The 25,819-nt window shown below is 37.4% G+C and overlaps 1 long non-coding RNA gene across 1 annotated transcript, besides 1 other annotated feature; it reads right to left on the bottom strand.

Moving 5' to 3' along the window:
- Positions 1-368: 368 nt before the first annotated feature.
- Positions 369-21,515, bottom strand: LOC105369406 (uncharacterized). The gene is made up of 4 exons (XR_950350.3): positions 21,431-21,515; positions 1,815-1,886; positions 1,549-1,635; positions 369-458 (listed from the first exon to the last, which is right to left on the bottom strand). It is a non-coding gene; the product is annotated as an uncharacterized LOC105369406 (long non-coding RNA).
- Positions 974-1,539: an enhancer, noted in NCBI's record as "OCT4-NANOG hESC enhancer chr11:79868366-79868931 (GRCh37/hg19 assembly coordinates)". NCBI's record gives its function as "activates a minimal SCP1, AML or CMV promoter by ChIP-STARR-seq in naive H9 embryonic stem cells {active_cell/tissue: H9 hESC(naive)}" and the evidence as "EXISTENCE:reporter gene assay evidence [ECO:0000049][PMID:30033119]".
- Positions 21,516-25,819: the final 4,304 nt, after the last annotated feature.

Here is a 25,819-nt window from a genome sequence, read left to right as displayed (position 1 = left end):
ATTCTCAGACATTAGTGGGTGGTATCCACGGGATCCTACAGAAACCCCAGGTTTATGTGTTGCCATAATCTGGGGGAGTTATTTGGCTTCTTGTACCATTTTAGAGAGGCTCACCATCCAAGCCAATATTTTCCATTCTAATGCCAGTAGCTTCATTCACCAAACATGAGGATATTTTGCTGCAGCTTCAAAAACCATGACCCTTAGTGTGAACTCCCTCTTGCACTGCTGTACCGCTCTCTCAGGGGCCTTGCCACAGCTCCCAGTAGCTCCATGGAAACAGGACACAATTCTCTGGCACTAAGGGCCCAAAGTCTCCTTCTTGTCCTCAGGGCATCTCACTTGGTTCTCCCAGGTTGGGACCTCTTGCACATCTCAATTCCAAGCACCAGCCTCCGCAACCTTCAAGTTTAAGCCTGCTTAGTAGAGCCTTCTTCATTGAGTCAAAAATACCAGTGCTACAAAAGAAAATCCCTATTTGTTGGGAGTTGTGGGATGAGATAAAGTAGAAAAGGTGGGAGAAAGAAGTTCATACCTGAAAGGACCCACTGCCGCCGTTCTTTTTTGGATTGGGAAAATAGATGCTGAAATCAGTTCTTTTGCTAATAAACCCATTTAATCAGCTTATTCTACACTGGATCTCAGTAATGAAATGACCTTTAGATCTTGCTCAGGCTTTTCCTTTCAGCAGGACCTAGAGCCACATGCTTCCATCTTTCTCCTTCAGTTTCATCATCTATAAAATGGGAATTTAAAATATGGCCTAATCATATGTAATAATACTTCTCAAATAGCTGTCAGACAAAGGTGAGTGTTTGCAAGCTTTATTGAAAGGGGCCTTTAGGGCCAATGCCTGTGGAGGAAAGAAAGCAGCTGCATTGAGCAGAGGGAGAAGTTGGGCTGCAAAGCAGTTACAACATAACCACTCCCATAAGAAGCTCTGAAACTGGGATTGCCTTTCAGTGGGGTCCCAAGTTGTGGGTGGGTAGGCAGCCCTTTATTCTCTCATATGAGTGAGTTATCTTATACAGACTGGCCCTGGAAGGAGGCAAGAATTTGAGAGGCAGTTCTTTATGGCTGAGGCAATTATTGGTGAGGGCTAACAACGGAGCACTCTCTGCAAGATAACATTCCTAACCTTACTAGCAGTTGGGAAATATGTGCTTCAGTCCTAAAGGGGAGCCCTGGAAGGAGCACATCCAAGACAGTAGCTAAATAATATGACATTGACAAAGAGAAACTGTGCCTAGCACCTGGCACATATTAAGAGCTCCATTAACATTAGAATGTGTGTGCTTCGGGTTCATTAATATGCTTGAAATGTCAAAGACTAAAACGTCAACAGTGTTTAACTTGGGGGTGGGACCATGGCTACTTGCTGTTTTCTCTGTTTTTCTATGCTTTAAATGTCACAATTGTCTATGTCTGAGGCTACTTTCCAACTACCTGGTACAGTTATCAGTGGATGTTATATTCACTAGGTGGCCAAGCGGTGTCCTATGAAGTTTGAAGGAAAAACATACCACCTTAATCAGGTTTCTGACTTACACCACTTTGTTACACTTGACCATGTGTTCAAACATATTCTCCCAACACTTTGTAGAATTCTGTGCTTCAGAGGTACCTCATAAATGTCTATTGAATAAATGAATCAAGGAAAATAAAAATGCAGTATCATCTCATACCCTGCTTGCATACATTTCTTCCCCCATTCATTCGGTAATTTATAGTTTTATTCATTCATGTATACTTGCATTTATTAAATAATCATCTATTAAACTCACACCCTGAACCAAATATTAATCTAAGGGTACAGCCACTACTAAAGGATTAATGTGATGAGAACTCCAGGCATCACTTGAGTTGATCAATTAAGCTTCAGTTATCTGCAGTATAAAGAAGAAAGTTAGTGTAGTTAAGATGGTAGAAGAATCAGCAGCATCACTCAAGACAGGCAGAGGTGTGAGTTTTGGGACTTATAAATCCTCACTTGGGGGATGCCTAGTTGCAAATGATACTATTTGTGTGAGTGAAGATCAGATCAAAGCTATAGAAAATTCAATTCTGCCCCACTCATATTCCAAGTTCAGTCTTATGTATATAAGAATAGAGCAGGGGTCTAGTCAGTGCTGGGTTTGCCTCCTACCAGGCAAGTGTATTTTATCAAATTTTGAGTTGTGCAATATGCAACATGACTACAGAGTAAAGCACAGAACTACAACCCTCAGCATTGAAAATAATTCTCACTTATTACCCTCAGACTTCCCAGTCTGGCCACACTGGTCTAAATGCATTCCTAATCTTTGAGCTGCCGAACTAGAACAAGGATCAGCTACATAGGAGTCTCTGGACATCATGATAATAGGCCTTAGGCCAGTTAGATGATATCTTTTAGAGAGTAACCATAACTTGAGATACCAAGGCTTAAGATACCCAGTCTATTTGATGAAATAGAGGATATAGAACATATGCAAAAGTTACACCAACAAGACCAAAAAAGATAAGTATTCTAAGACAGGTAACAACAAGGTATAGTAAGACCTGGGTAAAAATAAAACTAGCACTTCATGGTGATAAGCTGAAGGGGGTGGTAAATAAACACTTAAGGGAGAAAGTGGCACTTTAGTTGGCTTTACTGTAAACATGAATAGGAGAGAGTATTCTAAATAAAGCTAATGACATGAACTAACCAAGAAAAATAGGCACTACCTGTAAATGCGAATAGGAAAGCCATGAAATAATGTATGTGAAATAGTTTTGTATCCTTTAAAATGTGAAGCACCACATTAGTTATTTATTATTATTGTTGTTATCCACGGTCTTCATCTTGTTTTGTGGAACAATATTTCAGTGTCCTATTTCTTAGGAAACATATGGGAAAAAATGTCATTTTTCTTTGATACATGCCCACACAGGTCAGCCACTTTCTGATAATATCATGTCTATGGGTCCTTCCTAATCACATTTGACCTCTTCAGGTTACATTGTTGGCTTTCTTAAGCATTAAATAACTGGAAGAGAACCACTGGTTGAGGTCAGATTATTTATTAGGATCAATAGCTTTGAATGATTTGGGGTAGATGTGGTGCACTTTCCATTTGAAAGGTCAAAAATCTGTCAACTAGCAGTAAATGCTCTTAGCTCAGATAAGGCATGGTAGAATAGCATAAAATGTTGATTACACTATCCAGGGGCCATCTTGAAACAACCTCATTCCTTTGGTGTCTAAAAGAACCGCTAGATGGCACTGCTATTTCAAAATGGATTATCTTGGGAAAAAAATGGACGCACCATCACCACCATCCCCACCATCCCCACCCTCCATCGTGTTAATGTATACATTATGCGTGCAGAGTGAACTCAGGTATCTGTTCATTTCACATCCAGTAGATTTTCTTATATAAGAAATGGAGATAGTGATAGCACTTAGTTAATGTTCTTGTGAGGATCATGTTCAATAATGGATAGTAAGGTATCCTGTAGATTCTAAGAATAAATATTAATTTGTCTAATTATTACCAATAAATGTAAGTCTTATGAGTATAAAGTTAATAAGAATAGAGAAGTAGCTGATAATGATTCCAGCAGCTAAGCTTTATAAGTTAGTCATAAAATGAAAACCCAGTGACAAAGAATGAAGATATTAGAAAACTCCCTAAATTATTTATCTCAAAAGCCCAACTGAGAACAAAAATTCTCTCTCTCTCTCTCTCTCTCTCTCTCTCTCTCTATATATATATATATATATATATATATATGCATTTTATCTAGGATTTTATCTAAATATTGTGTTATGTGTTTATATCTCTACATAGTCTCAATTATACCTCTGGTCTTTACCGAACATCAGAAGAAAAACCCATGAGAAGATCACTTATGTATTTGTTGTAAAAAGTATTGAAAACATTATTCATTGTTTTACCTAGTGATCCCTTATGTAACATCACCAGAGATAAGTTTGCATTGGAATTTATATAAGAAAAATGATAAAGAATCAGTCTACTACATTTTATCAGATCAAAACAGATAATGAAACATATCATGTATCTCCTTGGCTATCAAGAGACTCAGAACCAAGTTTAATGTTCATCCCAATATTAACTCTTATGGCTAACATATCCTGATGTTTCTTCTTTTTACAACTTGAGTCTATTTCTTTCCAGAAACTGTAATGTGTGTTTGCCTTTGTGGTGCTCTACTGCAAATCCTTTTGAAGTGAATTGGAATATTAATAAATACAATCTGATAAAATATTTAAAATGTATAAAAATACCTTTGTCGATTCAAAGTCGCTATAGATTCATTTAACAATTTTTTTTTTTTGCACAATACCCTACTGGGGTTTGTAAACAAAAGATACACATAGCCTTCAATTAGAAACACGTTTTCAGCCAGGTGCGGTGGCTCACGCCTGTAATCCCAGCACTTTGGGAGGCCGAGGCAGGTGGATGACCTGAGGATGGGAGTTAGAGACCAGCCTGACCAACATGGAGAAACCCTGTCTCTACTAAAAATACAAAATTAGCCGGGCGTGGTGGTGCATGCCTGTAATCCCAGCTACTCGGGAGGCTGAGGTAGGAGAATCACTTGAACCCAGGAGGCAGAGGTATCGGTGAGCAGAGATCTTGCCATTGCACTCCAGCCTGGGCAACAAGAGTGAAACTCCATCTCAAAAAAAAAAAAAAAAAAGAAAAAAAAGAAAAGAAAAAGAAACTAACGTTTTCAGAAGGGTAAAATAGATCATACATTGGTAAATCACCTTGCATGATATTATCTAATTTAGTGCTAAGATGAGTTTATCACAATTTACAGCTACGGTAAGGATATCATAAAAGACATAAGAAAAGAAAAGAAAATATTTGGGCTGCAGAGATCTAGAGTGCCTTCCGGGGAAGATGGCTTAAGTAGGATCTAAGGCTCATGAGGATTTAGATAAGCAATCAGGCAAAGGAATGGTAAGAAGAGGAGTGAGAACCTACCTGGTACCTAGGGAACAGCCTGCTAATCTAACCAAAGTGTTTGTTGTGTAGTGTGAACATTAAAAGTCAAAATATGAAGGCTTGAGCACAAGACTAAGGAATTACTACTCCTTATATAAATGTAACTTTTGTGTAAGATTCAGGTTAAATTGAATAGCTCCTCATAAATGATGGCCCTCTAGGCACAGCACTTACCTACTGAACTAATTGCTGATTCCTAAATACCCTGGGGCTGCTCCTTGGGCTCTGCAAATAATTGAAAGCCCAGGTAATCAAATATGATCAGTGTGTAGAAGACATCCACAGCAAAACTCTGGGCAGCTGTTTTGAATTTACGTTTTGATGAGATACAATTCAGCTGAATCTCAACCGTTCAAAAATATGCCTGTTTTTATGAGATGTCAATTTGTGTTGTGCCCAGGTTGGTATCCCTCAAAGTCAAGGTAAAATTTATGTTCCCAGTTGTCAGAAGCCTTTTTCCTTTGTATTATTCCATATACTTGGTCTAAAAAATAATTGTTTGTTTATGAAATTGTTTTTTTCTATTCAGTATTTTTGGAGGATGGTAGGAAGGTATTAGGTATTGGTGAGCAAATTAAATTAACCAGGGTAGTTGATCGTTTTATTTACTCAACACATAGAGTTCTTCAGATATTTAAAATAATTATGCATATTTCCATAGCCCATTTTCCCCAGTTTTCATTCATCAACTATTTCTTAAAAGACATAGCTTTGAGCTGAAACCCTCAGAGCCATCCTTAGATGCTTATTACTCTCCTCTGAACACATTTCTTTTGGTATATTTAGCATATTGGTAGATTTTTACTGTATAAAATACAGATCTGGTCTAAAAATTTCAGATGCAGATGGCCACAGAAGAGAACAGGGCCATCTCCTTTATTATTCCAGTTACTATTAGTATTAATTCATACACATTCAATTATTCAACACATGTTTGTTCAGTATCTACTATGCAGCAGGCACTTCAAGCAGGCAATGGGCTCTGCTCCCATGGAGCTTAGAAGCTGAAGGAAAGCAAGTTGCTAAGCAAATGGAAGTGCTATGCAGTAAAAATTTTGTGAAGGCTACTTTGAAAGGATGAAATAGTTGAGATGTGGTGGTCAGGTAAGTCTTCCTTAAAGAAGTCACCTTAAGTTGAGACTCAAAGAATGAATAAAAGTTGAAAAGATGAAGAGAAAATGGAAAAAAATAAGTCCAGCTGTTTAGGAGGGGGCACACTATTAAACTCTCTGCACTTTAGTTTCCACATCTATAAAAAGGGAGCAATAATAAAGGCTATCATATAGAGTTATGGAAAATAAATGAGGAAGAAAAGTTAGAATAAGACCAGGTATGACAATGACTACACCAACTGTGTTTCTAGGAAGAGGGAATAACAGTCAAGAAAGTCCTCAAGGAGACATATGCTAGGCTTGGTCAAGAAGCTGAGCGAAGAGCAAGGTGGCAGAACACGGAGAGCAAGGGGTTGCATGATGCGAGAATGGAAGGAGAGATCATTCGGCCCCACCACGTAAGAGAGCAGGGGCTTTTTGGAAGCTGCCTAGCAAAACAAAATGACCACCTAGGAGCCAGCAGCTCCCATTTCTCCCACCTGATCTTTAGCTGCTCTTGCTGTTGGTTATATGACTAGGTTGTTGTGTGAATACTTTGTAAAGTATCTGGCTACTGATTTTGCTTCTCTTTTCCTATTAATTTTTATTTAATTTGAGTAATGACTAGACCATCAGAAATAATTCTTGTCCTCCTACCCTACGGAATTAACCTTCGATCTTCTTGGGCTTGAATACTTGTTGGTGTTTCACCTCCCTTTCTGCCTTTACCAAGCTCAGCTATACACAGTTAACTCCTTTAATCTTTTCTCACCCAGTTAGTCCCATTTTCTTAATCATTTTTGTTCCTCCCTTCACTATTCCCTTGAAAATTCCTTTATCTCATGGTCAATTTATCACATAGCCATTTAATTTTTACCAGGCACATAAACCCCTGAGTGGAAACAGCCTTGAGAAGCACATTTGCACTCGCTGCAGCTTCTGCTTTTCTGAATATTTTGCTCTCTCTTGCCTTATAGATTGGTTTATATTCATATTTCAAAATGTTGAGTGCAATTAGCAGGATGTCTCTATGTTAATGATATTGCCATCTCAACTATCCAATCTGGAGGGAGTGGGGGACTGATTCAGAGAGTATAGTTGTAAAAAGAAAAGAAAAGAAAAGAAGAAAATACTGGACTGTATCATCAGACCCACCCCCACCTAACATGTGACGGGCCCAGCCCCTTGGATCTACAGTGTTTCTGTGTGTGGGAGTAGCTAAGCAAGTAGCTCGAGAGTCAGACTGACGGGGTATAAATCTTCACACTGTCGTCTTCCAGGACTGTGACCTTGACTAAGTGATTTAGCTGCTCGATGCCTTGGTTTCTTTACATGTGAAATGAAAATAATAACCCTACCTCTGTGATAGAGTTGCCGTAAAGACAGACTGCAAAGTGCTTAAAAGAGAGCCTTGCAGGAGGTAAGGACTCAGCAAATGTGATTTTCTGTAAAATGGGTACAATAAAACATATCTCACAAGGTCATTGTGGTTACACACATACATGCAGACACACATATCTATGACATGTAAATCCACTAACAACTAGCTAATGTAAAATTTCTTAGTTCACTAAATGTAGTTTATCCCTGTTTCACTATATCTGCTTTTATGAAGACACTGTGTAGAGTTAAACTTTTCAAAAAAAATTTAAAAATAAAATCATCAGATGACTAGTGAAAAATACAATTGAGTGCTTACTGATTTCTTGGAGGAATGATGGCCTTCTAAGGTTTGAAGCAACAAAAGAAATCACAAGGAAAAAGATTGACATATTCAATTACATACAATTTTCAAATGTGGGCACAATGAAAAGATAATCATAAGTAAAATAAAAAGGAAAACAACAGATTGAGAAAAATATTTGCCCCAAATATGCCAAAATTATTGTGAAGATTAAATGAGGATAAATAATGTATGTGAAAATGCATAGTTGCCTGTCAAATGTAAGAAAGAAAGTTTATGTTAAATATGCTCCAATTTATTGGGCAACTAATTCTCATACACCAGGTACTGTTCTGGGTTTTACATAGATATACACCTGATGCTAACTGGGCCTCCCTGTACCTTGAGATCTCCTTAATCTATGGCTTTGGGATAATCAAAGCCTTATTGGGGAAAATCCTATCAACCTTTGGTCATGTGTCTCTACATATCCCTTTACTAAGCTCTGGGTCCCTGAATTTCCCTGGGGGCTCTCTTTGTACTGTCCCACATCAAACTCAGTCCCTGAAATAAATTCACTCTACATATATTGTGGAAATAGGAACTACATGGAAAATTTTGGAGTGTCCCAGGGTAATACAGGATGTCACTACAAAGCCCTGGCTATCTTTTGGCCTCCCCACTTCTATCACTCTCCTCTCCTCTCTTCTTCTCAGTAACAAATTGCTTCTCTTTCTCATGAAAAGTGGTTTCCCTTTCTTCTCTAAAGCCTTGAAGCCCACCTCAAGATGGCTAAGGTGGCAATTTCTGAAAAAAAGAAAGCCCTCTTCCTAAGATAATTCTTATATTAGCCTTTAAGAAGATTAAATTGGCTGGGCACGGTGGCTCACGCCTGTAATCCCAGCACTTTGGGAGGCCGAGGAGGGCTGATCACGAGGTCAGGAGATCGAGACCATGGTGAAACCCCGTCTCTACTAAAAAATACAAAAAATTAGCCGGGCGCAGTGGCGGGTGCCTGTAGTCCCAGCTACTTGGGAGGCTGAGGCAGGAGAATGGCACGAACCCAGTAGGCGGAGCTTGCAGTGAGCCGAGATGGCGCCACTGCACTCCAGCCTGGGCGACAGAGCCAGACTCTGTCTCAAAAAAAAGAAAACAGAAAAGATTAAATTATCTCCATTTAATTATGCATATTATTTCAAATCCTCACAAACATCTTGAAGGGTATGTCCATTCTCATGTTTAGAGGATGAAGAAATGGAGACAAGGGACCTAAGGAATTTCCTCAAAATTATCCATCAGTTGTGGCTATGTGGTCCTAATAATCAAAGCAGTAGATACATAAATAACTTAGAGAAAATATTTATGTCCCAAATGATTTGAACTATCAATTCTCACAATAGGAAACAGAAATTGTAATCCTTTGTTTCTATCAAATTAATGTCAATACTTGTCCTACTGATAATAACAACAATAAAAAATAACATCTGACATAAATTGAGTGATTTTTGTGTACCAGACACCATTTTAGGTGCTTTCTGTCTATTAACACACTTAATCCTCACAACAATCCAGCCAGATAAACACTTGATTATTGCCATTCTATAGCTAGGAAACAGAAAGACAAATTGATTAAATAACTTGCGTGAGTGCACAAGCAAACTGAACCTCATAACCAAATAAGTACTTATAAGCTCAACATTCACATCAAATAAAAGACTTATTAGCACTTGCCATTGAAAACCTTTAAAAAAAACTACAGAATAGCAAGTCTCAATTTGCACCTTTAAAGTTAGAAGATGTCTTCTTTAAAAATAATAATATAAAGTACTAGTGGCATTGTGATAAAACTGCATATACGTATGAGGTGAGTGGTCATAGAAATTTGGCCTTTTTTAGAGACAAGAAATGATTTATAATTTTTGACTGAATAATCTATCTCCAAGGAATTTATTGTGAAGAAATAGTTTTTAATATAAAAAGAATGTATAAACCATATTACTCATTACAGCTTAAATGTCTGACAACTGGGTAAGTAAATATGGCACACCAACTCAATGGAATATAATGCAGTCATTAAAATTTCAATTATGGACTGTGTATTTACATGAGAAAATATGTACCTATAATGTTAAGTAATAAAAATCAATGAAGAGAGTATGTATGTATTACTGTTACTATTAAAATGATATATGCTTATGGATGAAGACTCAGCAGTCAATATAAAATATATAAAATTAACTTATAAATGAGTGAAAGATGGATGATTTTTAATGCTCTAACTTTTAAATTACTGTCATGTTATAATATTATTTGCATATAACCCCAAAATTGGTAAACAATCTGGGGAATCCAAAAGAGGATGTCACATGGATGAGTTGTAACAACCTTGCTCTTGGAGAGGGATCTAGTCTTGGAGAGGGATCTAGTCTTGCAGAAGGACCTGATACTACTTTTTAGGTAGCAAAGATGCTCTAAGCTTCTACAAACCAAGTAGCCTTTCCAGCCAAGCTTTTACTCATTGTCTCTCAACAATTTTCTCTCAGAGTGACTTTCTGTGCTAGGAGTCATCAAAGGGAAACTGACACCCCATCCTCCAATTTCCTTGAGAATTGCTAGCCTTCTGTGCCACCATTATAATGAAATTTGTCCTGTCATTCAGGTGTTCAGAGGCTGGGATAAAATTGAAAACCCCTGTAGAAAGAACTAAATCCTCCTGTTCTGAAAAATTCTTGTCCAAATCTGCATCTTCTCTCTAAATTCCTACATTGCCTTGCTTTGAATCTCGAATTGTCTTATACATATATGCATTGTCTTCTCACATTGCTTGCGACCTCCGAGAAAGCAGACAGCACCCTGATCTATTTATTCCGCTGTCATCAAGTCACAGTGACTTGCTTAACTTCTCTCCAAGCTCCAGTGCTTTTTCCTCTCCTCCAATCCTAAGGAAATCCTACTCAACCATCCACCTTCATGTGTCCTGTCACCTCTCTATGGAGTTTCCCAAAACTGGTCAGCCAGTGAGAAGAGCTCCTGCCTCTCACTGGCAGTAACACTCTGCCCACCCTTTGTTTTTGACAGTGGATGTTTAATTCTACAATGGCAATATCCTTGTAGTTATTGCCAATTGCAAATCAGTATATCCACCTGGTAAAAATATTGGATACAACCAGATAAAAGAGAAAGTGAAAGCCCTTTTATTTATCCCCTCCCCCAAGACAAATACCATGGATATCAACATACTTTACATGTGCTAGTTTTATCAGTTAAATAAACATTCATTACATGAACAGTCTTACCAAACATATTATTTACTAATGTTTTTTTCACACATAAAATATCCTGTGAATAATTACCCATGTCAATTCATATAGCTATAGTTTATCCTTCTAAATAGATCTACGGTAGTTCACAGTCTGAGTGCACAGATAATTTAGTCAATTTTCTTCCAGTGGATATTGAATTCAGTTATTCAATTGTTTCAATTATTTCACTGTTCTTAAATAATACTACAATGAACATCCAATGAATATCTATCTATCTATCTATCTATCTATCTATCTATCTATCTATCTACCTAGCTACCTACCTACCTACCTATGTCACATATTCCCTATTTATTTTTTTCTAGGATAAATGTATAGAAACAAAATTTATATGTCAATCAGTACACATATTTTGCATTTTGACATAAAACCACATTACCCAGCTGAAAAGTTGTGCCAGCTGAAATTCCTATAAGATTGTATCAAAGTCCTTAATTTCTTGTACTCTTGCCAGTACTGATTACTTCATATTATGTTTTAGTGCTTGTTTATTTCTCTGCCTTCCTACTAGACTGCTATTATAAAGGACAAGGATGTATATTTATTATATTTTGATATTCAATTAGGTTTTTAAAATATATATGAATACTTAGCTAATGTTTCTGAAATAAAAGTGAATATTTTAAAATGCTGGAATGTGAATTCAATTAAATATGGTCTTTTATGTATTTGAGGGAGATATTGAGGGACATTGGACCCAGAAGTATGGCAGCTTGAATTCTGGCTCTGTCTCCTGCTTACTATATCCAGAGGCTGGGCTCATAACCTCTCTGAGCCTCAGTTCCTTCTTCATTAAAATGGGCATAATAGTTCCTGTAAAATTCTTATAACAGCATTAATGTAGAGGAAGAATAGCCTGTAAAATGTTGCTACTCTAAGCTTAAAAGAAAAACCAGCATTAGTAACACCTGGCTAAAAATGCAGACTCTCAGGCTATCCCCAGAACTACTGAATCAGAATCAGCATTTTAACAAGATCTCCAGGTGATTCTTATCCACTTTAAAGTTTGAGAAGCACAGATATAAAATATGAAACATAGCATCAGATGCATAACAGGCAGACACTAAAGTAATAATGATGACAATGACAATGATGATGTGATGTATGTAAAGCCCTTCGTATATAATAAATCATAGTTGTTATAACTTTTATCAGCTGTTCACATTTGGCTTTAAAATAAAAACTTGGGTTTACGTAAAATACTACATGTCTTTAATGCATACACAAGTTTTTGGGGTGTTACGTGATGTGCTATGCGGTGTAATGGATGTGATTTACACTCGGTGACTCATTTGGGAGGCAGTGGAGCATGGGACATGGGATCCAGAAACGGCTGGATTAGAATCCTAGCTTTGCTACTCATTAGCTGACAGGTGCTGAGGAGATGACTAATACCCTTGAGGTCTGCTCTCTTCAGTGGGTTGTTCTGAGGTTTTTAACATTTTACCTGTACAATACCAGGAACAATACTTGGCATATTTCAGCGTTCAGGAATAATATCTACTGGACAGTTGCTGTGTGTTAACAAGTGCTTGGCAGTGTTCTAAATGGCCTTAAGTAATTTCATTGACTCCTCACAAAATCCTATAAGCTATTTGTTATCATCTCCATTTTATGGAAGAGTAGACTCAGAAAGATTAAGTAACTCATCTAAGGCCTCACAGCCTGTAAATGACATAGCCAAGGATATAAAACCAGGCAGTCTCATGTTATAGCTTCATTATCACTTTCACCTCCTCTTTTTTCTCTTTTCTCTTCCTTCCTTCCTTTCCTTTCTCTCTCCCTTCCCCTCCTTCCCTCCCTTCCTCCCTTCCTCCCTTCCCTCCTTCCCTCCTTCCATCCTTTCTTTTTTTTCCTTTCTTTTTTAACATAATATTTCCTTTAGAAAGTGATATCCAGCCGGGTTTAGGAAACAAAATAATCTGCCAGGTGCAAATTTTTACTAAATATTTTTCAGGTAACTTTTTCTTTTTTCTCTAGCATTATCTGTCTTCCTGTTTTTCTCATCTTTGCTGTATCTGAAATTTCTTCCTTGATCACCTGTTGATAGCTAGGAGCTCTGTGTGGCTTCATCAGTGATGCTGCCATATATCAGAAATTACTAATCTGAGGGGTTTTTTTTTCCTCACCATCTCGTGTTTGACAGGGCTTTTAATACCTTTAAATTTCTTTCATATATGGACAATAAGAATTAACACACCTGTTTCGAAGAAGTATCAGGCATTGTTCTAAGCAATTTACTTGCAATCATATGACTGAATTTGCAATGCAAAATAATGTAAGTTGGTTTCTGTTAATGATTTTACTATTCAGTAGCCCTGCTGTCTTTCTTAACAGTCTAACTCTTCCCTTCTCATCTGTCCACTGAGGCTGTGTTGAAAAGTAACTCTCTGATGAATCAACCAGTCGCTGTGGTATGCTGAGACTGTTAATGTATTATTTCTGTTTTGTCATTATCAGTCTGTATTTAACTGTATTTACTCAGTTATTTTCTATAACCACTCAATAAGAAAGATACTGTAATTATTCTCAATTTAGAGAGGAAAAAACTGAGGCCAGAGAAATTATGTCACCTATTGAAGGTCACACAGTTAGTAAAGCTCATACTCAAACCCAGGCAGTCCTGCAACAAAATCTATGCTTTTAATCATTAAACCTCCTGCTTTCATTTTCACTCTTTTTAGTCTTTTTCCTTCCCAGCAAGTCCATTCTGTTACAATCAGTTGGATCCTGCATCTGGAATCCTGTGACTATGAATTTGCAATGTAAAACAGTGTAATTTTGTTTTTGTTTGTATTCTTCCTCTTCAGTAGCTCTGCTGCCTTTCTTAACAGTCTGACCTTTCCCCTTCACATCTGTCTGTGTTAAAGCCACTGAGGCTGTGCTAAAAGAAAAAACAGCCCTCTAATGAATCTGTCCATGTCCCTATTCTCTGTGGTGTGCTAAGACTGTTAATGTATCATTTCTGTTTTCTAATTATTCAGTCAATTGTTTCTTCCTGTCTTTTCAAAAATCGACTCTCTTCCCATTTTCCAGATCATATAGCTTGTAAATGCTTTCCATTTATCTTTGCTTCTGGGCTCTAATTTGTTCCCAAAGTGCCAGCTGTAAGCATTTTGAGGCTCAATGTTTGATTTAAAATATTATATCCTGCCTTTCTTTTCTAATGAAAAAATAAGTGAATGTTCACTTAGAATTAAGAGAGAAAAGTTATTTTTAAAAATATACAAGTTATTTTTTCCATTTAGTCTCTGATTTTATTTTTAGTGTAAAGTAAGCAGAGAAGATATTATCCTTCTTCATTTTTTTTAATAGATGAGGAATCTGAAGTTTAGAGGGATAATATCAGAAAGATTAAATGAATTATCAAAACAAGGACACTGGCATCCTGCTAGGTCCTCTTCTTTCTTTTTCTGCATGATATAGTGATAGAAAATAAGCTAAATGCCTGGCGTGGAATCCTCACTGTCCTTCTTAGCTTCTGTGTAGGCCCAGGTATACCATATACCTTTTTTAGGTAGGTATACTTACAAGTTAGGATAGAGAGGAGTAAAAGTTATATCACCCACACTTCAAAACAAGTTTGATATTAGGGTAAGGCAAGTATCTACACATTTGTCTTCTGATTTGGTCACATGTGCAGATCATGCTCCTTTTGGTGGAAAAATGAAACATGGGGTTTCCCTGTGGCATTTGGTCTGGTAAATCTAAGACTGAGAAGGGAGTGAGGAGAGTTGTAGGCTCCATGGTATCTCTGTTCTGCAAATGATGTGCTGCCTTCTCTTGAATGACCAAATTTATTCGTTCATCCAAAGAGATATCACTGCGCTTTTCAGTGTGTTTCCTTTAAATTAGTCCATTAAATTGCATTGTCCCAATAAGCCCCAAAGGTACCTTTGTGATCTAAAGGGAAATGATTTAAAGCAGTTATCATAATGCCTAGCATCCCCTACACGCTTAGCAAGAATTACCAAGAAAAGAGTGAATTCGGCAAGATAGGAACCGTTGATCACAGCAGACATATTGACTGGAGAGAGTAGTTGTGCTGAGCCTGGAGGTTTCCAAGAAAGTACTCTAGTAGGGTGGGAGGCAGAAGTCAGGAGATTCCAACTAACTGACTCTCTCTTCTGTAGATCTTAGATTTCTTATGTCAAAGTTGAGGTGTTGGACTAGAGCATCCCTGGGACTTTGGTAATCCGGTACTGGAGTACTAGTAACTGATGCACAGAATATATAGCAGGTATATTGAGGACCTCCATGGAATGCGACAACTTCTATATTTCCTTTTTTAATGCAAATGAGACAGAGTGTAATGACTCTGTGAAAAAAAGGGTTTTCTTTCCCTCTGGAGGGAAAATGAAATATTAAGAGGCTTTACTATTGCAAAGAAGTAGATAACAAGACAATTAGTGCCATTAAAAATGACAAGGCACCAAGCCCTGATGGATTACATGGCTTGGTTCAGAGGGTTTTTACAAGGGAATGGGAAAGTCCATAAGCAGAACCTTCCAGAAGACAGGAGCCCAGAATCCAAGCTCATGCTGGAGATCAAGAGGCCTTCCCCCTACACAGACACCAAATGCTCTCTAGAGTCCGAAAGCCAGAACAAGGCCCATGCATGAAGGCACTGTGATGTTGAGGATGCCTCGGGTGATGTATCTACAGCTGGGTCTTCTCTGTGCTCCTGTAAGACCTTCTCTATCCCTTCATTATGCCACAAGTCACACAGTTTCTTATCTGTCTTTGTTCCCCATAGGAATGTGACTGCTCTAGAGCAAAACTTTATTCATGTCAGGCATAGTGATTGGCACAGAGCAGAAGAATGTTTGTGGAATGAATGCATGAATGAATAAATGAAATAGAAGATGTGAGCCTTGGCCCTAGTTCCATATAAGCTCTCTCACAGAGATGCATGTTTTAGGGGAAAATATTTGGAACACCATTTTGAAATTAAGCATCCTGAAGAATATTCGCTTCTGTAAAAACATGGCCAACTTTGAAGGGATCTTAAGAATAAGATAACACTTGCAAAAGCAATTCAGGGAGAAAAAGCCAATGGCCAAAAAAGCTGGGCCATTCTTAACAGTCATCACTTTCAAATGCATTCAAAATGTGATAGTCAATGTTGAGACTGGTTTTCCTGTACTTCTTAATTTATAGAAGAGGTAAAATTTAGAGAGGTTAAGTAGTTCAACCTTAACCTCAGGGCACAGCAGACAGGTTAGGGTTTTATCCAAAGTGTGTCTAAGTTCAGAGCCCCTTTTCTCTCTATTATGCCCAAAGTCTCTAACTTTATGAGATACTGGTCTTTTTATGCTGTTGGTACAGGAAGTAAGCTAGAGTCATGTCAAACAAGGATCCTGAGCACATCCAGCTTCATTTGTTGTTAATATTAGATGATAGTGGATATGAACGTGCTGTCCTTTGGCCATGGCTTGCCAGTTCTGAATTGGATCCTTATTCTGGACCTTTGACCACTGTGTCTCAGACCAGGCCCATTCCTCAGTGGAGGAGCCTCGATGGAACTCAGAGTACAGAAGGGAGATGTATTACCACTCCCGTTGAATAGTGGGGAAACAGACTCAGAAGACAGGTTTTACTCCAAGGTCCCAGTGGCCTAAAAACAGAAAAGCCTGGAGTTGCCCCAGACTGCTGTCATTTTGTCCAATATCATTTCCACTAGTCCTCAGCTCAAAGCATCCCTGAGACATTGCAGATCATGAGGAGAGTGGGGGAGTACCAGCTATGGAGACCGATTCTCTTGGATCTAAATCCCGACTCTGACATTTATCAGTTATGTGACCTTGGACAAATTGCTTAATATCTCTAAGGCTCAGTTTCCTCTTCCATGTAATGAGGGAACTAATACCTACCTCACTGAGTTGCTGTGAGAATTAAATGAATCTGTGAATTAATTAATTTATTCTCTGCCTTGTTCCAGAAAGGATTCAAGGTGGCTTACAAGGACACAATAATATAATTTAAGAATAGAGGAGAAAGGAAATAAGAACAAGACAGGCAGAAAGAGGAGTCAGTCCAATGCGATGGCTAAGAATAAGTGACTTGTTTTGCTCAAAGCTGTCCAATACCCAACCCCAGTAGGGAAACTTTGGCAGATACATTGGTTGTCATATTTATTAGGTTATAACAAAGCCATGACTAAAAGGGGAGCATGGCTATGTTTAAGATATAGAGTCCATTTCATGTTTCCATATCCAAGATATAGGTTCCAAGTTCCAGTTACTTCACTAGGCAATGGAGATCCGTGTAGAAAAAGGCAGGCCTAACCCCTCCCCTCATGGAGGTAACAGTCTTCATAAAGAGAACACTAATAAGATGTATCACTTCCATGATTTCATCATTACCAAGAAATGCAAAAAATACCTATGAGCTATATGAAAGTCCACGTGTTAAGCTCTGAGTGCAGTGTCTGGCACACAGAATGTGTTTAATATTCATTTGCCCACTTATTTAGCAAATATTTATCAATCTATCTATGTCTATGCATTTTCTAGATATGCCAATTATGCAATGGACAAAGAAGTAAAAATCTCCTACCTACATTTTAGTTGAGGAGAGAGACGATGTATAGGACCATTGAATGAAATATATGAGATATTAGATATTGATAAGGGAAGGTGGTAAAGGGCTCTGAGGGTGGTTTAGAGGAAATCCCAGGGGAGACCTCACTGAGAAGTCGATATTTGAGTTCAAACCTGAAAGAAATGAGAGAGGTAGCATGAAGTTTCTGAGGAACATTTTAAGCAGAAAGAACAGCAAGTACAAAAGCCAAAGACTGGCATGGACCTGACAGTATTTGCTTGGTATTAGGCGAGTCTTTCAGTTGAAAGTAACAGGAACTCAACTCAAAACAGGTTAGGTAAAAACAATTTACAGGAAGAAGACTCAGGTGGTTCATAGAATTTGACGATGAGATTCAGGAAGATAACCATCTCAGGAGCTCCGCAGTAACATTTATTATAGCCAAAGGAGGGTGATAAGTATGCTTTTCCTTGCCTCCTTTTTCATGGAAAATACCTAGGTTCAAAGGTCATTATGGCTGTAGAATGGCACATGATATGATTGGCTCAGCCTGGATCATGGTCCTAGCTCTGTGATTTGGTTAGTAAAATCTATCATCCAAATGAGGTAGAAAAGGAGCTGAGATAACAAAAACCACAGCCACCAAAAGTCTCGTGCAAAGTAAATGACTTGCCCTAAAAAAAGCAGTTCTGTAAATGGCAAAAGTGGAGTCTGCATCCGTCTACGCCATCAGAAATCTTTCATATCCTAGTTAATTTGATGATTCTCCTTTATGACTGATTCCCAAAAGATGTTTTGTGGTTTTCCTCCTCTTTACAGAGGGCATGCTGTTCATTGTCATGTGCATATAATGATCCCATAATTTAAAAAGCTTCATGTTCATGATGTTGAGTGGTAAGCTATAATTACCTCCCCTTTCTTGTCATTAGGAAATGCTATGAGATTTCAAACAACTGAAGAGTAGGCCACAAGTATACACAAAGTATCCAATAATGCACAAGTTAATCTAAGTCATGATTATTATTTGTAATAACAATATTTACAATTGAAAAGTAATTTAAGAGGAAAACACAAAAATGCATGATATAGTGAGGGGATTGTTGTGAGGTGTTTTGGAGAAAATAGGCATAGTCTTATAATGAGATAAGAAATAGGGGCCTGTTCATTCAGTTTGGTTATTTCACTTAGCATGTGACCATCTATCCCTAAGGATGGGCTGCATCAGTGTGCACATGTCCTCTGGCTTCAGCCAAAACAAAGCACTGGCAGGAGATTGGGTGAGGAAAGAGAATGAGATTTGAGTATTTATTTACCATCTGGGTTCCTACAGGGGCACCTCAGATTTTCTGCATGTCTCTTTGAAGTGCTCTCTCATTTCGTTTTCTCTCTCGGGGTTGGGAAAATAATTGTCCCCTCATGCCCCTTTAGTCCCAGGGGTGGTGATGATGACTCCCAGGTGTTACGAGCCCCTGAATGCTGGTCCTATCTCCTGTCCAAGTGTGTCTGTAATTTATTCCTTCCGGTGGGTTCTTGGTCTCGCTGACTTCAAGAATGAAGCCACGGACCCTCGCGGTGAGTGTTACAGTTCTTAAAGATGGTGTGTCCGGAGTTTGTTCCTTCAGATGTTCTGACGTGTCTGGAGTTTCCTCCTTCTGGTGGGTCCGTGGTCTCACTGACTTCAGGAGTGAAGCCGCAGACCTTCACAGTGAGTGTTACAACTCTTAAAGGTGGTGCGTCCGGGTTGTTTGTTCCTCCCAGTGGGTTCGTGGTCTCGCTGACTTCAGGAATGAAGCTGCAGACCCTCGCAGTGAGTGTTATAGCTCATAAAGGTAGTGTGGACCCAAAGAATGAGCAGCAGCAAGATTTATTGTGAAGAGGGAAAGAACAAAGTTTCCACAGCCTGGAAGGGGACCCCAGCGGGTTGCCGCTGCTGGCTCGGGTGGCCAGCTTTTATTATTTGGCCCTGCCCACATCCTGCTGATTGGTCCAATTTACAGAGTGCTGATTGGTGCATTTACAATCCTTTAGCTAGACACAGAGCACTGATTGGTGCATTTACAATGCTTTAGCTAGACAGAAAAGTTCTCCAAGTCCCCACCCCACCCAGAAGCCCAGCTGGCTTCCCCTCTCATGAGTCTTCATAAATGGTGGCTTTATTAAACTCTCCTCAGTCCCAGATTTGAAAGACCATCTATTTCCTGCCAGTACACTGACACACACCCTCAATCAATTTCATGCTATCTTGCAATACCTAATCATGGTATTTATTCTGCTTATCTCAAGTCAGGCGTGTCTGTGGAGAGATCTGTCCTCTTGTTTCCTTGCTACCTATGCGTCTTTGCTAATGTTCACTCCTGGAATGTACTCTGAGCCTCTATCTCTGTCTAAATTCCTCACTATTCAAAACCCTTCCATATCCTACAGGAAACTTTGTCTTCAATGCCATCTCCTATAGGAAACTTTGCCAAATCTACCAGCCAGAAGCAATCTTGCCTTTCTCTAGACTCCCACAGCTCTTTACTCAACCTTTGTAATGATGCTTATTTCTACTTTGTATGACTTTTTGTTCGGCACACATATTATCTTCCTTAATTAACTAGATTCGTGCCTTCATTAATTGGAAGGCTAGATGCATGCCTTTCAAGACTTGCATCCCAACAAGAGGCTAAAAGAATGCCTCATACATCTTGGCATTCAGAAAGTATTGTTTAATTGAAAGAGTGAACAAATTGCTAAATTCCAGTGATATCACTTACAGAGCTAATCTCAGGCAGTTGTGTTCACATTTTAATATATATTCATTGATCCTACAAATTCATTAAATATTTTTTATTTGAATTTTTAATATCACCTGTGCAGAAATACGTAAGGTCCTTAGAAAAAATCTTGAATAGCCCCTCCACACTGGTTTCCAGAGGCACTGAAGTTAATTCTTTATTCTTAATAGTACTGGTAGTAACCTCAAATACAATTTGCACCCATATAGAGCTGTGAAGCTCAAACTTTGCTGGCTGTAACAAAATCATATAGGGAGCTTTGAAATGTAGATAAATTATTGTCATCTTAGTCTTCACTTCTACCCCAGACCCGCTGGATGGGCATTTGGGTGAGAGGGCTGGCTGATTTGAATTTTATCACCTTCCCTTTTGCTACTTTCGCTCAGTTTTGGCTCTGCTAACTAAACATTCGTCCAAGAACTGGTATTCAGGAGCTGCTGTTTTAAAGTACAGTTTGGTAATAAAAACTTCTCATAAGGAAAATAAAAGGTTTACCTACATTTAATAAATGAGAAAATGGAGGTTCCAAAATGCTAAATCAGTTTGAAAAAAATAAACATTTTGCAGAAGTAGGAATATTAAGGCTGAATAAACATATTAAAAGATGCTCAATCCTGGGTGTCAGTAAGATGAGGAATAGGAAGCCCCAGAACCTCCTTCCCCCATGGAGACACTGAATCAATGACAACACAGGAACCAGTTTCCTTTGTGATAAACCCAGAAAACAAGAGATTCTTGTACCTCATGTGAGCATGAAACCAGATGCATCAAAGCTTGTAGGAAAACTTGTGGCACTCATTCATCATAGTCCCTCCACTTGGTTCATCATGGCACAACTGAGAGAAAACTCTCAGCTCCCAGCTTCTCAGTGAGGAAAAGAGAATACTGAAACATACATTTAATGTGCAGACTTTTGGGGGATCTGGACCAAGGGACTGGTTTTGTCTGTCTCAGTCTAAACACTGACAAAAAGGGGCACCAGGTTGAGGGTTGCTAAGAACAAAGGCAGAGGTTTGGGCAAGCACACACTCACTTGCTATAGCTCCTCTCCCCATCTAAGCGTGGAACAAGTGGAAGAAAACTCCAACTCTGACTTGACTCCAAGGAGGGAAAGTGTTGAAGTAGTGTGCATCCAACATTTGGGCTTTGGGGGGTTTGCCTGAGAAGCTGGTTTATGTCTTATCTGTTCCAGTGCACTGAGGGCACCCAGCATACTTTAGATGCCTAGGAGTCATTGAGAATGAAAGAAAGCTGGGTGGCGCACTGCCGTAACAGATGATTCATGGTACAGTAGATGGAGGCCAACACAGTTCAACAGCTTCCCCTTTGGTGGGGGTGGTTGGGGGAGATAAGAATGGTATGTGTGTTCCACATTCTGACTTTTCAAGGGGTTGCCTAAGGAACAAATTTCTCTCTGGGCCAATATACTTTAAAAGCCTGAGAGCCTCTGAGAACAAGAGAACCGGAGTACCACAGCAGACATCAGAAGGAGGAAAAAATTATAAATGCTTGTAAAAGGAAATTAGCAATTCTGTATAATTGGGAACTTATACACACACGTCCAGGAAGGATTTGCATCTATAGGAAAGGTTTGAGAGGCCCCAAGAATTTCTAGCCTGCTTGACTAGTGAAGGTCTATCTCTGTCCTAAGCCATTCCATAGACTGGAACTGTTGACATTTTCCAAATATGTGGATTCCAGCACAACGTTACAATGCACATTAAGAAACAGGAAAACATGGCTGAATGAAAGAAACAAAATAAATCTCTAGAAACTTGTCCTAAATAAATTGAGGTATATAAATTGGTTGACAAAGAATTCAAAATAATCATCATAAATGTGGTCAATGAAGTCAGGAAAATTATGCATGAACAAAATAAGAACATCAACAAAGAAACAGAAAACATAAACCAAACAGAAATTTGGGAGCTTGAGAGTACAACAACTGACATGAAATATTAATTAGAGGGGTTCGGCCACAGACTTCATCAAGCAGGATAAAGAACCTACTAACTAAAAAGCAGGTCATTTGAAACTATCCAGAGGAGAAAAATAACAATAGTAGAGAGTGAAGAAAGCCTATGAAACTCCTGGGAGACCATCAGGCAAACCAATACACACGTTTTGGGAACATCAGAAGAAGCCAGAGAGAAAGTGTCAGAAAGCTTAGTTGAAAAAATAATGGCCAAAAACTTCCCAAATCTGAAAAAGGAAGTAAACATCCAGATACAAGAGGCCCAAAGGATTCTGACTAGGGTGAACCGAAAGACAAATAACAGATTTCTTAGAAGAAAACTTTCAGACCATAATGGAGTGGGAAAATATATTCAAAGTGCTCAAAAAGAATGCCAGTCAAGAATATTGTGTCTGGCAAAATTGTCTTTTAAAAATGAAAATGAAATAAAGACTTTTCCAGATAAACAAAAGTTGGGGGGTTTTTACCACTATGCCTGCCTTGTAAGAATTACTAAAGAATATCCGTTAAGTTAAAACAAAAGCACGCTAGCATACTACACAACAACACAAAAGCATATGAAAGTATGAAGCTTGCTAATAAAGGTAAATTTATAGAAGGCTATAAAATAGTGTAATACCATAATGGTGGTGTACAAATCAATTTTAATGTTGGTATAGAAGATAAAAGGCAAAAGTATAAAAATATTTATAATTATAAAATATGTTAGTGATTGTACAATATGAAAATACATAATTTATTGTATCAATAGCATAAAGTGTTGGGGTGAAGAGGTAAAAAAGCAGAGTTTTTGTATGAGATTGAGATAAAGTTCTTATCAGCTTAAAATAGATTGTTATAACTACAAAATGTTTTATGCAAGCCCCATAGCAACCACAAAAACTACTCAAATAAGACAAAGAAGATACACAAAAGAAAATGAGAAAGGAATCAAAACATGGCACTACAAAGAAATTAAAACAAAAAACAAAACACAAAGGAATATAGCAAGAGAATCAAAGGACAGAATAGCTGTAAGACAGACAAAATAATTTTTAAAATGGCAATAATAAGCCCTTCTGTATTCTGTATTCGTAATTACTTTAAATGTAAATAGATTAAACTCCCCAATCAAAAGATATAGAGTGGCTGCATGAATTTAAAATATATATATCCAACTATATGCTGTCTACAAGAGAGTCACTTTGAAGGACACACAGGCTAAAAGTGAAAAAAATGGAAAAATATATCCTTAAAAATATTAAGCAAAAGATAATGGGGTGGCTACGTTTATATAAGACAAAATACAGTTTAGGTCAAAAATGATCACAAGAGACAAGAAAAGACATTACCTAATGACAAAAGTCTCAATTCACCATGAAGATGACAATATAAATATATAAATATGTGTGTGTGTGTGTATATATATATATATATATATATATATATATACACTCAATATCAGATCACCCAAATACATAAAGCAAACATTGACAGCAATAAGAGAAAAATAGATAGCAACACAATAATAATAGCAGATTTCACTTTCAATAATGTATAGAACATTCACACAGAAGATCAATAAACAAATAGAGGACTTTATAATAAAGACCAAATGGGGCTAACAGACATATACAGAACATTTCACTCAACAGCAGTAGAATACATATTCATCTTAAGCATGTACAGAACATTCTCTAGAATAGATCACATGTTAGGTCACAAGAAAAGTTTTTAACAAAGACTTTCAGAAGATTAAACTCCTACCAAGTATCTTTTCTGACCACAGTGAATTAAACCGTAAACTAATAACAGAAGGAAAATTGGAAAATTCACAAATATATGAAAATTAAGCAACACACTGTTGAACAACCCGGGAATCAATGAAGAAAGAAAAAGGAATAAAAAAATCTTTAGACAAATGAAATGAAAATACACTATATCAAAATTTATGGGATGCTGCAAAAGCAAGACTAAGGGGGACATTTGTAGCAGTAAATGCCTACATTAAAAAGGAAAAATGGTTACAAATAAACAATCTAGTTTTATTCGAGTAACAAAAAAGAATAAACTAATACACTATAATAATAAAAATGAGAGCAGAAAAATAACATAATAAAGCCCATATATGAAAAGTCCACAGGTAGCATTATACTCAATGATTAAAAAACTGGAAAGTTTTCCTGTAAGATCAGGAACACAGCAAAAATACCTACCTTCACCATTTCTATAAAAGATAATGCTGGAATTCCTACCCAGAGCAAGGAAAAAAAATGAAAGGCCAAATCAGAAAGGAAGTAAAATTATCTTTGTTTGCAAATGACATAAACTTATATGTAGAAAACCCTAAAGGTTCCACAAAAATTAGTTAAAACTATTTTAAAAAACTGATGAAGTTGCAGGATAAAAAATCAAAAACCAAAATCAGTTTCATTTATATACATTAAAATAAACAATCCAAAAAAGAAATTAGGAAAATGATTCCATTTCCAGTAGAATACAAACAAAACAAAATACTTAGGAGTAAATGCAACTAGAAGGTGAAAGACATACACTGAAAACTCTAAGACATTGATGAAAGAAATTTAAGAGGATACATATAAATGGAAAGATACTTCATGTTCATGGATTAGAAGATTTAATATTACTAAAATGTCCATGTATTCAAAATGATCTACAAATTCAATGCGATCCCTACCAAAATTTCAATGACATTTATTGCAGATATAGAAAAAAAAAAAAAAACTCTTAAAATTTGTATGAAACCACAAAGCACCCTGAATAGCCAAAACAATCTTGAAAAAGGAAGAACAAAGCTGGACGGCTTATACTTCCTGACTTTAAAACATATTACAAAAAGCTACAGAAATCAAAACAGTATGATACTGGCATAAAGACAGACACGTAGATACGTAAACCTTTGCATATATAATAAAATGATCTTTAACAAGGGTGCCAAAATGACATATTGTGGAAAGAAGAGTCTCTTCAACAAATAATGGTGGGAAAACTGGATATCCAGTCAACAGGGTAAAAAGACAACTTATAGAATATGAGAAAATGTTTGCAAACTATATATCTGATAAAAGGTTAATTTTAAAAATGCATGTTACTGATACTATTCAATTAAAAAATGATTAACATGCTTTAAAAATAGGCTAAAGAATTGAAGAGAAGAGACATTTCTTCAAAGAAGACATACAAATGGTTCCCAGGTATATGAAAATATGCTCAATGTCACCAGTTATCAGGGAAATGCAAATCAAAGCCACAGTGAGACAATGCGATATCACTGCACACTTCTTAAGATGTCTACTATCTAAAAAATGGAAGACAAGTATTGACAAGGATGTGGTGAAATTAGAACACTCCTACACTGTTGGTGGGACTGCAAAATGGTGTAATTACTATGGAAAAACCATGTAAAGTTTCCTCAAAATATTAAAAATAGAACTACCATTTGGTCCA

Source organism: Homo sapiens, chromosome 11 (assembly GCF_000001405.40).
Source record: "Homo sapiens chromosome 11, GRCh38.p14 Primary Assembly".
Classification (NCBI taxonomy): domain Eukaryota; kingdom Metazoa; phylum Chordata; class Mammalia; order Primates; family Hominidae; genus Homo; species Homo sapiens.
This window is presented reverse-complemented; position numbering and strand designations above follow the sequence as displayed.